The following is a 13400-nucleotide window of genomic DNA, read 5'->3' as shown; positions in this document are numbered from 1 at the left end:
CCAGCCGAGATGCAAGGAGCAGGAAACGGACTGCACCTCTTGAGGGGAAGCGGCAAAGTCACAGTGCAAAAGAGCACAGGGGATAGGAAATAAGTGTCAAGCCACATTTGGAAACAGTCTCCACACCTATGCTCTGCCAGTTAGCTTGAATTCAGCCCTTCACTTGGATGGATTCCACCATCTTTCTTTTTTGTACAAAGTTCAGAATACTCAGCTAGGCAATGGACGTACACAGAAAATTCAAATTTGAATTCTGAACTTTTAAAAAGTCCCAAATTGGCTGGGTGCGTTGGCTCACGCCTGTAATCCCAGCACTTTGGGAGGCCGAGGAGGGTGGATCAAGAGGTCAGGAGATCAAGACCATCCCGTTTAACACGGTGAAATCCCGTCTCTACTAAAAATACAAAAAATTAGTTGGGCATGGTGGCGGGCACCTGTAGTCCCAGCTACTCGGGAGGATGAGGCAGGAGAATGGCGTGAACCTGGGAGGCGGCGCTTGCAGTGAGCCGAGATTGCACCACTGCACTCCAGCCTGGGCGAGAGAGAGACTCTGTCTCAAAAAAAATAAAAAATAAATAAAAAGTCCCAAATCAAGACGGTATTGTCAAAATACCAGTTAGTAAGTTTCTAACCAACAGCAACAAAGTATTACTAACCAAATTGCTTCAGGCCTTCTTTAGCTCCCGCATGACATGAACCTACATGGGTTTCTGTATCCACATGCACTCCCGCACACACGCACACACACACACACAAACACATACACACAGTATGATACAGCACGGAAAATGTTCTGAGTCACTGGATGATGTGTTGTATTAGTTTGACTCCTTTGGTTAACAAGAACAAATGCTTTTAGGTGAAATTATCTCAAATAATGAAAACTGAACTGCAAGAACACAGGCAAAATAAAAGGGAAGACATACCGAAAGGGTATACTGTATGACAGAGCAAAGTAACAATGAAGAATCAAACAGAGATATACCCTAATGCAATTATTAGACTAGAAAAATAAAGAATTTTGGCAAAAACATCAAGTCAATTCAAAGGCAAAAAGAATCAGGCTAGTCTCAGATATCCCTCTAGTCTTCCATAGGGACAGTAAAGCAATACCTATAAGAAACATAAGGGAAAAAACGTGTAAGCCAAAGACTGTAAACATACTACACCATGTCACAGCCAGATGATCTTCAAATTTGCTTTGGGCTGGATGACTGGTAATACATCTGTTAAAATATGCAGGCCAAGCACAGTGGCTCATGCCTGTAATCCCAGCACGTTGGGAGGCCGAGGCAGGTGGATTACCTGAGGTCAGGAGTTCAAAACCAGCCTGGCCAACATGGTGAAACCCCATCTCTACTAAAAATACAAAAATTAGCCAGGCATGGTGGCACGTGCCTGTGGTTCCAGCTACTCGGGAGACCGAGGCAGGAGAATCGCTGGAACCCAGGAGGCAGAGGTTGTAGTGAGCCAAGATCACACCACTGCACTCCAGCCTGGCCCACAGAGCGAGACTCTGTCGGAAAAAAAAAGAAAAAAAAAAAAGCAATTAACTATTAAATAAGAAGTGACTGTGTATATGTATATGAAAGTGTTTCAAACTGAGGCATCCATAAGGAGTCATAGAAGGAACTAAGCTCTCCATTGACATTGAGCACTAGCTGAACCGTACCATGTTGCTTCAGATGAACATGAAAAACTTTAATGGCAGCTTGGTAAATAGTTAATAGGTATCTTTGAAATCCAATATTTTGAAACAAATCAAAACTACATTTAACATTTTTGATAATTTTGCTGGTTAGGCAAGTTTTTCCATTTATTAGACTCTTTCAATAAACATATTAAAGATCTTTTATAAAGCCACAAAAGACATTCATAAAATTAAAATTTTATGAACAAAGTTATTCATCCCAATATCATTTATATAGCAAAACAGTTAAGATACAAAGTCTTCACCAGAAGTATCAAGTGAACCATGACAGATCCATTATGCAGTCTGTAACATTACTAGTTTTCTTTTAAATTCAGAGAATGATTGTTATAAAGAGTAAAAAAAAAAGCAATATACAAAAGTTTGCACAGAAAAATAGCTGGAAAGAAATTCACAGCTTACAAGAGTTACCTTTGAGAGACGAATGCACAGATAATTTTTCTTCTTTACACATTTTTTTCCCAGTTCCTATACTGAACGCATATTTTTATTTTTTAAAAAAGAAGGTACACACTTACCCTGATGAACTCGTTCCAGAAATTTCACTAGGAGAAGAATGACTCAGTGGTGACGTGGAAGGTCTGAAGCTCTCCTGCTCATCCTCTGAGCCACGTCCACCATGCTCAGGAGAGGTATTTTTCAAATCTATCAGAAAGGGGTATTTTCCAGTAAGAAGAGAAAATAAACTTTGTAATTTTATGAATGTGACCAACGACTCAGACACTTACCACTATTTTTAGGTGAGACTATGCGATGGTTTTCAAAAGTCACATGCTTCTCACTGTTGCTTATTTCACTGACACACTCATTTTGCCTCTGATTTTCTCTGTTATCTCGTATTTCTTCACAGTCTTTTAACAGACAAAGGGATGTTATTCTGGGGTTCCTCACTGATGAATAACTATCAGATGGAGTGGAAATTGAGGTAGCTTTTTCATCGTTACCAACATCTTGTAATTTGTTGTCAATGGAACATGTCTTCACATCAACTACTGCACTGTTATTCTCTCTATTTGTAACTGAATTTGAGGAGTTTATGGTTCTAAATGACTCTTGATTCTCACTCTCTCCATTTTCAACATAAACAATAGCTGCTGTGTTTTCTTCTGGTGCCCTCACACTTACACTAGTAGCACTTAAGTCCACCGGATGAATGTCTTGAGTAGTTTGTTCTTTGGGCAAAGATAAATCCCAAGTATCAGACATACTAGCCCTTGAAAAGTTTTCCAATGCACTTTCATATCTACTAACTTCTGTTTTTTTAAGGTATTTCTCCATATCAAGTGCATTGGATCCATTACTTTTTTCTAAATCATTAGGTAAGAAATGACGCACATGAGAATAGTCCTTTTGTTTCTCATCTTCCTGAAAAGTCTTGTCTCTGGTTTTATTTGAAAGTGCCTTGATCATTGCAGCAAGTTGGGAAGGATCAGTATTAACTGATGCCTCTGCAATGGCTGAAGCAATGGTGCTGATCCTAAGCATAGAATCACCACTATCTGGTAGCTTGTCTTTGTATCTTTGGGGTTTGTTGCTCATGAAGAAAGTGTCCTAGAAGTGAGAAAATTAAACATCAGATAAATTTACCCCAGTTTCATGAACATTCATTAGTCCCCCATTATCATTGGGAGATGCGTTTCAAAACCTCCAAGTGGATACCTGAAACCTCAGATAGTACCAAATCCGACTGCCATAAATCAGAGCATGTTTCTGTTCCTATCTTCCCCACCCACAAATGTAGTGCCTTTTCCATCTTAACTAAGCACTTATCACTCACTGTGGCTGGAACGTTTGAAGTTTGGAGTGCAAAGCATGAATTTCTCTGTCCTTCTTTGTAATTACACATAAAAAAGATCATTCTTACCACAGACCTCAGAAACTTCAGCATTATTTTTTCTTTCCTTATTAAGTCGAGAACCTTCCTCTTTTCACTTGAAGGAAGCACTTGATAGCTCCTCTCTGGTGTATCCAAATTGCAGGCAACACTACTCTTGCACTTTGGGGCCATTACGAAATAAGAGTGACTTTAACACAAGCACTGCAACATCCCTAGAGTCGATCTGATCACCAAACACTACTAAGTGACTAACGGGCAACAAGTGAAGACGGGTGGAGAAGCTGGACAAAAGAAAGACTCACATCCTACCAGGATGGAGCAAATTGGTGGGAAGATTTCATCACGCTACTAAGAAAGACATATAATTTAAAACTTATGAACTATTTCTGGAATTTTCCACTGAATATTTTTGCACCTCAGTTGACCATGGGTAACTAAAACTGAAGGAGGCAAAACTGTGGAAAAGAGCAGGCTACTGTATTAGTTTGATCTTTATAAGCATGATGTAGGATCTAATGGCAACAAAAAAATTAAGGGCATACCAGTTAAATATCCTAATGAAAAAGACAGCTGCTATCAACTTTAATTATATAGTACCAGGTTATTTACAAAATTGATTATCATTTGTTTTTTAAAAATCATCAGGAATGAAAGACATGGTAAAATTGAATCAGATAATAATTTAAAACCAAAAACTTAAGATATTGAGATTGAAAAGCCACTGAGTCATTGTGATTGCAAGTATAATTCTTGGTAATTTCATTCAACTGTTAGAATTACTTATAAGAAAGACATAAATAGGAACCATGAGTAAAAAACTGAAATAGGCCCAACAGTTAAGAAACATAAACTATTTAACAACAACAACAACAAAAAATACATGTTAAGACTTCTGCCTCCAGTAACAGCAGACTAGGTAAAGCAAACCAACCTCTCGCTAAGAACAATTAGAACTGAATAGCATACTCAAAAACTTATCTTTGAAAGCACCAGCAAGCTTAAAAAGCAGTGTAAATTTATGGGGCCAAAATCTAAGAGAAGAAAGTAACCCAGAGAGGTAAGCCCAACACTGGGGATGCTGTTCCCTAAGCATATCTGCTGCTTCAAGAAAAGGCTAAGCAAAGTTGTTCTTGTGGGAGTGCAGGTATAAAAACTGAATCTGCCAATGAATGACTGGCATTGGGGGGTTAGGAGGTGTGTGTGTGTGTGTGTATGTTTGAGGGAGAGAAAGATACCACAGTAAAACATCCATGCTTTGGGATGAGACCACAAAGGGATACACCCCAGCAGTAAAGGTAAACCAGCATCCAACTGGTTCTCATAAGGATGAGGCTCAGCTCCAATCAGCTCAATTCCAATAAACGAATGAAAGTGATCTGCAATTGCCAGTGTTCCTTGCTCCCTGTCAGAAGCAGACATAAATCCAGTCTGGAAGATATCATCTCCCTTAGCCTCAAATTATTTCAACGATTTTTCCTCTAAACTGTAGGGTAAAACAAAAGCTACCCAACCACATCACAGTAAGATGGATAAAAACCAAAGAGAAAAATAACAAAAGACTGACAGCCAACTTTTAAAATGAAATGACATGAAAAAATACATTCAAAGTGCTAAAAGTTGCTGCTAACAATTCTATAGCAAGCAAAAATACATATCAAGAGTAACAGGGAGATAAAGACATTGTAGAGAGACAACAAACAAAATTCATTATCAGCAGTCCCTTACAAAAAAAAAAAAAAAAAAGTAAGGATATTCTTTAAGAAGAAAACTAATCTCAGATGAAAGATCAGAAATACTGGTTATTTATAAATCATCATCATGTCTTATTGGGTTAAATATAGAAATAAAACATAAAACAAGAAAAGCTTTTTAAGTATGGAGTAAATTGAGTATTTTGTGATCCTTGGAATGCCAAATAAGACATTTAAAAGAAAACAAAGAATTTTTACTAAACATCAGTAAGCCAAGAGACAGGTTATAATTATTTGGGTAATCATTAAAATAATATAAATATATATAATTACCAAATCAACAGAGGAGAAAATTGGAATCATATAAAACTCTTAAACGATCTCTAAGAATGCCAAAAGAAAAAGAACAAAGTCTAGGTGAAACAAATAAAAAGCAAATAAAGTGGGCAGATTCAAACCCCCATGCTGGAAATTCCATTAAGTGTAAGTAGAAAGACTGTGATATAGTTGGATGCCCCTCCAAATCTTATGTTGAGATGTAATCCCCAGTGTTGGAGGTGAGGCCAGGTGGGAGGTGTTTGGGTCATAGCGGTGAACCCCTCATGGCTTGGTGTTATCTTGCGGTAGTGAGTGAGCTCTCCTAAGACCTGGTTGTTTGAAGTGTGTGGCACCTTCCCCATCCCTGCTTTGGCCATGTGACATGCCTGCTCCCGCTTCGCCTTCTGCCATGATTGCAAGCTTCCTGAGGCCCCCCCAGAAGCCAAGCAGATGCCCACACCACACTTCCTATACAGCCTGCAGAACTATGGGCCCGTTAAACCTCTTTTCTTTATAAATTACCCAGTCTCAGGTATTTCTTGATAGCAATGCAAGAAACAGGCTAATACAGACTGTCAGACTGGTTGAAAAGCAAAATCCAACAGTATGTCCCTATAACATCTGAAATATAAAGATACAGAAAGATTAAAAGTAAAATAATGGCAAAAAATATAACATGCTAACACTAACCAAAGAAAGCTGGTATTGACATTGTTAATCTCAGACTAGATTTAGGAAAAAAGCATTACTACACACTGAGGAGAGACATGCTCAATAAAGGATTTGATTTGTTAGCAAGAACAATTTTTATGCACCAAAACAATTTTATGAAGAATTTAATGCAACAAATTTTATGCACAATTTGTATGCACCTAAAAATATAGCTTCAAATGTTTAAAGCAAATGTTGATATACCTATAATGATTAACAAACCCACAATCATGGTGGGAGATTTTAAAACAGCACAATAATTTTAAGAATGCAGGCAGCTTGAGCATTCCGATTTAAATCTCACCTAAGTGAAGCAGACATTAAGTCACATAACAGACATTCCCTACAAGCGTACAGAAAATATTTTCAAAAATTGAACAAATGCTGAGCTATGTATCATATTTAAACAAATTTCAAAGGCCTAAAACTAAAAATTCTCTGACTACAGTACATTTGGCCTAAATCAATTATTTCAAAAACCAGAAAATCTCCTACACGTATCCCATGCACTTACACCGCTGAAAAAGCAGGAAGGCAGAAAAATAAGCACACTAAGCATCCATCTCAAAAAGTTAGAAAAACAACACATTAAATCCATAGAAAGTAGAAGGAAAGAAATGAAGACCAGAAAATAGGAAATAGAAAGACAAACAGAATTGAGAATAAATAAAATTGTCAAATTAACAAAATTGAAAGTATCTGGTGAGATTAAGAAAAAGAGAGGGAAAACAGTCAATTATAGAATGAACAAAAGAGACATAGCTTAACAACCTAAGATATTAATCACAAGAGGATATTATGGTCAGCATGATAGTAAAATAAATTTTCAAGTGTAGAGGAAGATTACAATCTAAATTACAATGTACTAAAACTGACATAAAAAATTAAAACATCAGAATAGTACTACAACTATTAAAGAAATTGAATCTGCAAGTAAAGGCATTAGATAAAGAATATACCAGACTCAGGTGATTTCACCAATGTATTCTACCAAAATCTTTAAAAAAGCACCAATCTTACAAAAACTCTTCCTGAAAACAGAAAAAATGAGACCAGTAAAACCTTGATACCAAAACCAGACAAGAACATTATAAGAAAGAGCATTCATCTCACTCACAAAAATGCAAAATTCTAAGCAAACTATTAGCACACGCCAAATCCAATGATATATCAAAAGATAACACATTACAACCCTAGTGAGGTTTATTTCAAGTATAAAAGAATAGTTTAATATTCAAAAATCATTTGACAAAATTCATCACATCAACAAAACAGAGCAAGCTCATGTTCTTAACAGATCTAGAGAAGCACTCGGCAAGATTCAATCCTCTTACAAGGTGAAAACCAAATCCAAAACAGAACAAAAAACTAGTGAACAAAGATTAGAAGACCACGTTGTTGATCCAGTAATTTAAAACAAAACAAAACAAAAACCTTACACCATGCATCAAATTGAAAGATGAAATACCAAAAAGAGTTCCCAATGAATGAGGGAAACCCAACATCATGACATCAATACTCTTTTGAGGTCCATCCAGTCAAGGAAGGCAAGACAAAGAAACAAAGGTATAAAAATTAAAAATGAAGAAATAAAACTTTTATTCTCAGATGACAAAACTATGTATGCAGGAAATCCAAAGAGTTGATAGATAATTAGAGTTAATAAGTAAATTTGCTGGATATAAGGTGAGTATATTTAAAAAACAAATACAATTGTGTATTTGTTTAGCCAAAACAAACAGAAAATAAAGTTAAGAAACATAATATTAATGTTTCATTTGATAGCACAACAGGGTCAAAATAATTTAATTGTACATTTACAAATAACTAAGAGTATATAATTGGATTGTTCATAACACAGAGGATAAATGCTTGAGGGGATGGATACCCCACTTCCCATGATGTGATTATTACACATTGCATGCCTGTACCAAAACATCTCATGTACCCCATAAATATATACAACTACTATGTACCCACAAAAATTAAAAATAAAAGTTTCAACAACTTAGGAAGAAATCTAACAAGATGATGTGAAAAATCTGCACAAAACTCATAAAATACAAAGGGAAATTAAAACATATAAATGAAGTGATATGTTAGTTTCACGGATTAGAAGACTCAATATTATAAAGATGTCAATTTTACTGCTCCATAAATTAAATTTAATCCCCAAAAAAGTCCAACAGGGTTGTTGGTGGTTAGTGGTTGGTGTGTAGAAGCTGACCATGTGACTGTAAAGCACACATGGAAATATAAAGGGCCAAGAATAGCCAAGATACTTTTAAAGAAAAATACAAGAGGATTTACTCTTCCAGATATCAAGACTTATTATAATAAAGTTACAATATTCAAGTGTCATCTTGACACAAGATAGATAAACAGACCGAAGAAGCACAAGAGAGACTCTAGAAATATACCCACGATGTCATGGTATTTGATTTATGACAAAGTTAGCACATTAGAGAAATAATGAAAGCATGGCCTAATCAACAAATAAAAATACCATTAAAAAAGTGAAAAGGCAAGCCACAGACTGGGAGAAGACACATGGAACACTCATAACTGACAAAAGGCTCCTATCCAATGTAAACAACACCTACAAATCAAATAAAACGAACTGTCCATTGGAAAAATGAGCAACAGACTTGGACAGCACTTCATAAAATAAGCCTCCTAATGACCAGCAAACATGAGCAAGAACCAGCTTTATTAGTAATCAGGGAAATGTACATGAAGACAAGAAGACCCCACTGTACACCCACCAGAATAACGAGTAATGCCAGGTGCTGGCGAGGACATGCGGTGACAGGAAGCACACACTCTTGAACAAATCTACATGGTACAACCACTCTGGAAAACTGTCAAAACCACTGAAATGAAAGTATGCAAACCCTACGACATACACACCTCATATGAACGTTTGCACACTTCCCAGGTACTAGGCTGTTCATGGAGCATTGTTTTATAATTGTCCAGCAGTGGAAATATCCCAAATTTCATCAACAATACAAATGGATATAAAAGCAATAGAATATTCATATAACAGAATACCATACAGTAATAAAAATAAGTTTATATTATACTCATCTAACAAATGTAAGGTGAGGTGAAAAAAGCCAAAGAAAAGGAATACATGCCACATGGTTTCTTTTAAGTGAAGTTTAGAATCAGATAAAATTAATACAGGGTTAAAGGTCAGGTAACTGGAGGCGGCAAAAAAACTTGTTTCTGAGCTGTTGGCAATGTTCTCTTTCTTGATCTGAGGTATACACAAGTGTATGACTTGTGATAATTCATTCATTGACTACAAATCTGTTTTATAAACTCATCTGTGTGTATATTATATCGCCACAAAAACTTAAAAAGAAAAATTTAAAGGACACTTGCAAGAAATCTGAAGCCAGGAAAGAAAAGATGTTAAACGGCATAAATTTTTCACAGGTGATCTCGTCTTGATCCTAGATAAGAACTACAACAAGATAATCTTAGATTTCCTTACGAAAGGCTGAAGCTACCTCTGTTTTGCCTTTATCAGCCGTTAACGTCACATCATTTTCATCCACTTGTGAAGTACTCTCTACTGCTTCAACCTGAAGTGTAATTGATCCTTCACTTAGCTGTGCCTGGGACTGTTCATTTAAATCTCCTGCAGGAAATATATAATATTCAACTTATAAGTATACACTATTTGACAAACACAGTCTGTGGAATAAGGACCAGGCAAAATGACTAATTTACCAAGGAAGATGTCTTTGTACCCCAAATGTCAGTTGCCTTCACTATAATGGTTTAAACGTATAGTCACTTGGACAGAGAACAACAACATAGTTAATTTGGCTCAATGCTGCAGAGTCCAAACTTTGAAGGAGGATTGTGGATTTTAATCTTTCCCTTGCAAATACACACATAAACTCATTCAATATTTTTCAGCTTGAAACATTTCACAAACATACAATAAGTTGAATTTAAAACTGAGTACTTCTTGGTCGGGTGCGGTGGCTCATGCCTGTGATCCCAGCACTTTGGGAGTCTGAGGTGGGCGGATCACTTGAGGTCAGGAGTTTGAGACCAGCCTGGCCAACATGGGGAAACCTTATCTCTACCAAAAATACAAAAAATTAGCTGAGCATGGTGGCGTGAGCCCGTGATTCCAGCTACTCGGGAGGCTGAGGTGGGAGAATCGCTTGACCCAGGAGGTGGAGATTGCAGTGAGCCGAGATCACGCCACTGTGTGACAGAGAGAGACTCTGTCTCAAAAAAAAAAAAAAGAGACTGTCTCAAAAAAAAAGAGAAGAAAAGAAAGAAATAAGTGGGTGCATCTTTAGAGAAATGGAAAATGAGCTGACTCTGTATACATGGACCCTTTGTCCCAACTCCCCTACTAGAATACAGGCTCTTTAAGGAATGCAGCATATCTTATACAACTTTATATGATATGTAGCACAAGACATTGTACTAACAAAAAGTAGCTGCATGATAATTCCAAGCTGACCAAGAATATTTGATTAAAAATATTATATTTATCATAAAAATTATCATAGATTATCATAGTCTAAATCTCAAAACATCTCTTTAAAAGTCATCCTAAATAATAAATTATATCTACGATTAATTAACTCAATAATTCAATAGCCAACATTAACTAGCCCATCTGAAATTATTTCATTTACTGTGGTTTTTACAAATTTAGGTAGATTTTGGCTGACTTGTTTCCACTTTAGATTGAAAAGGATATATGGGGTTACATATGAATCAAATCTATAACCAACACTGAGAAACTACAAAGTGTTATATACATTTTCACTCATAAAGAACACGGTCACCCATTTAACCCCTAAGTTACGCATTTAAGAAAAAAAAGATTCCTAAAAGCCCCTTCATTGAATCCATTACCTGAATATAGATCATGGTTAAGATGAGCCATTTCTTTTTCCAAATTACCTCTTGATACATCAGATTTTCTTATTAAGGCAATAGGTTCTCTCTTCTCTGGTGATCTAATAAAATAGCCAAATGATGGCTACAAAATAATTAAAGGTAAATTATTTCTTTGATTTTCAACTGCTTTGAGAAATTCTAGACTGTTTTATCTAATAGTGGTAAAACAGCTAAATGACATCAAAAAACTGTTCTTCCCACTTAACCTCAAATTACTAGAGATGACCTTCAAAGGTCCAGGTAGAACCTTTCATTTCCTTAATACTAGCTACCTTTTAACCATTAGAACTCACATTGTCAAATAAATTGCCCTTACTAAGAAATTCAAATTAAAACAACAGAAATGAGGCCAAGCGCAGTGGCTCACACCTGCAGCAGATAAAAACTCCTGCTTCCTGGAAATTACAATATAAAGGTACTTTATTTTATAGAATAAACACATCCTTGAAAAATGTGTATTAAGATTAGGGACGCTCCTACCAATTTGCATGAAAGTTTCTGGAAGGTCTGCATTCAAGGAGCTTGCTAAAGGGTAGGCAGTTTCCACTTGTCTTTCTTATACAGCAGTCACATGACAGAACTAAAATGTGAACTCATTAAATACACTCAATTTTTTATTGGTCTTCACTTTCCCAAGTGATTAATTTATTAATTGTGATTAATATCTTAATTTCTTCCCTTGATTCAGTAACTTGAATGCAAATAAAACGTCATCACTTATACCACAACAAAAATTCCAAATAATAGATCCATTTTTTTCATGATCCAGTGCTTTGCCCACCTTATCTTTCCTTACTATAATTCCATTAATAAGGAATTCAGTTACTCTTCAACTTCTATGAATCAGCTGTGACTTCTAACACTACATCTGTTATTTCAAAATCATACTCTTAATGAAATCCAGTTTTGCTAAACAATCCCTCCAATAACCCTAATACCCTCTGTGGAATTTATCAACAAATTCTTTGACTCTATAGAATAAATCTTGAATTCTTGCCCTTTTCTCTGCTTCTACTAGGTCATCCTTGTCCCCAGCCTTCATCACATCTCTCCCATTTCCTAAGTGTTTGCCTGCTTCTTTCCCTCTTCTGTCTTTTGCTGACTTTCACTACCTGGGCACCTGACATATGGCGGCAGGCTGCTGCACCTGGAGATGGGCTGGCACCACAACAAAGTTGCCCTGTGCCTCTAAGCACTTCCTCCCAGTTCATCTGAGATAAAACCCCCCTCCTACCAGGAGCCCTCATGATTTGGCCCCTGGAATCATCTGCCATTCTCCCTTCATACCTGCCTACCCTGCTCCTCAGAGCAGCTCTGCCTGCCTGCTTTCCATTCCTCCAATATGCCACCCTGGTTCCTACCTCCAGGCCTGCACACAGACAAGGGCCAGGTCACTAATGGAGGGAAAAGTCTTATTTCTTCTCACAAGAAAAAAATCACTTTTTTTTTTTTTTTTGAGATGGAGTCTCGCTCTGTTGCCCAGGCTGGAGTGCAGTGGCGTGATCTCGGCTCACTGCAACTCTCCACCTCCTGGGTTCGAGCAATTCTCCTACTTCAGCCTCCCAAGTAGCTGGGATTACAGCCACGCACCACCATATCTGGCTAATTTTTTATAGTTTTGGTAGAGACAGGGCTTCACCATGTTGGCCGGTTGGTCTCGAACTCCTGACCTCAAGTGATCCGCCCACCTCAGCCTCCCAAAGTGCTGGGATTACAGGTGTGAGCCACTGCGCTGGCCCTGCTGCCTCCTTTTCATCACTGAGATGCCAACTCAATGTCTTCCACCAAATGTCAGCCTGACCAGCATAGCTAAAGTAGCTCCTTCTCCTCACTCATGCTTTACAGGACTTATCACTATCTGAATAACTTGTCTTTTTAATTGTACATGCATTACATTTAATTAAATCAAAACACTTCTATATTTCAAAACATCTCTTTAGACAATAGTTTTTAAAAAGCAATTTTAGAATTCTTCACACCAACCAACAATAACAACAGCAATGAACAACTATTAAATACTTATTACATGTTGGTTTAGTGCTAAATGCTTTACATGAACCGTCACATTTAAATCTTACAAAGCCCTATAAAACTGTGCTGTTAAGAAACGGGAAATTCAGGCACAGAGGAGTTAAATTGCTCAATGTCCCAGAATTAGCTAAAAGACAGAGCTAGAACTGCAGTAAAGGTC

At 36.9% G+C, this 13400-nt stretch overlaps 1 protein-coding gene across 27 annotated transcripts in view, besides 1 other annotated feature; it reads right to left on the bottom strand.

The window, feature by feature from the left end:
• CEP192 (centrosomal protein 192) overlaps window positions 1–13400 on the bottom strand; it is a 133675-nt gene that overhangs the window by 72916 nt on the left and 47359 nt on the right. For 23 of the 27 annotated variants that reach the window (XM_006722326.4, XM_005258107.4, XM_047437562.1 and 20 more), the window contains 4 exons: window positions 11165–11291; window positions 9787–9917; window positions 2440–3262; window positions 2230–2356 (listed from right to left, as the gene is read on the bottom strand). In XM_006722326.4, the coding sequence (XP_006722389.1) occupies window positions 2230–2356; window positions 2440–3262; window positions 9787–9917; window positions 11165–11291 (1208 nt within the window). The remainder of the gene's footprint in view (window positions 1–2229; window positions 2357–2439; window positions 3263–9786; window positions 9918–11164; window positions 11292–13400) is intronic. The other 4 variants (XM_006722330.4, XM_017025804.2, XM_047437575.1 and 1 more) reach the window with 1 other exon arrangement.
• Window positions 45–114: a silencer, noted in NCBI's record as "silent region_9328". NCBI's record gives its function as "represses an Ori minimal core promoter by ATAC-STARR-seq in GM12878 lymphoblastoid cells {active_cell/tissue: GM12878}" and the evidence as "EXISTENCE:reporter gene assay evidence [ECO:0000049][PMID:35858748]".

The sequence above is a fragment of the Homo sapiens genome, chromosome 18 (genome assembly GCF_000001405.40).
Source record: "Homo sapiens chromosome 18, GRCh38.p14 Primary Assembly".
NCBI classification, from domain to species: domain Eukaryota; kingdom Metazoa; phylum Chordata; class Mammalia; order Primates; family Hominidae; genus Homo; species Homo sapiens.
This window is presented reverse-complemented; position numbering and strand designations above follow the sequence as displayed.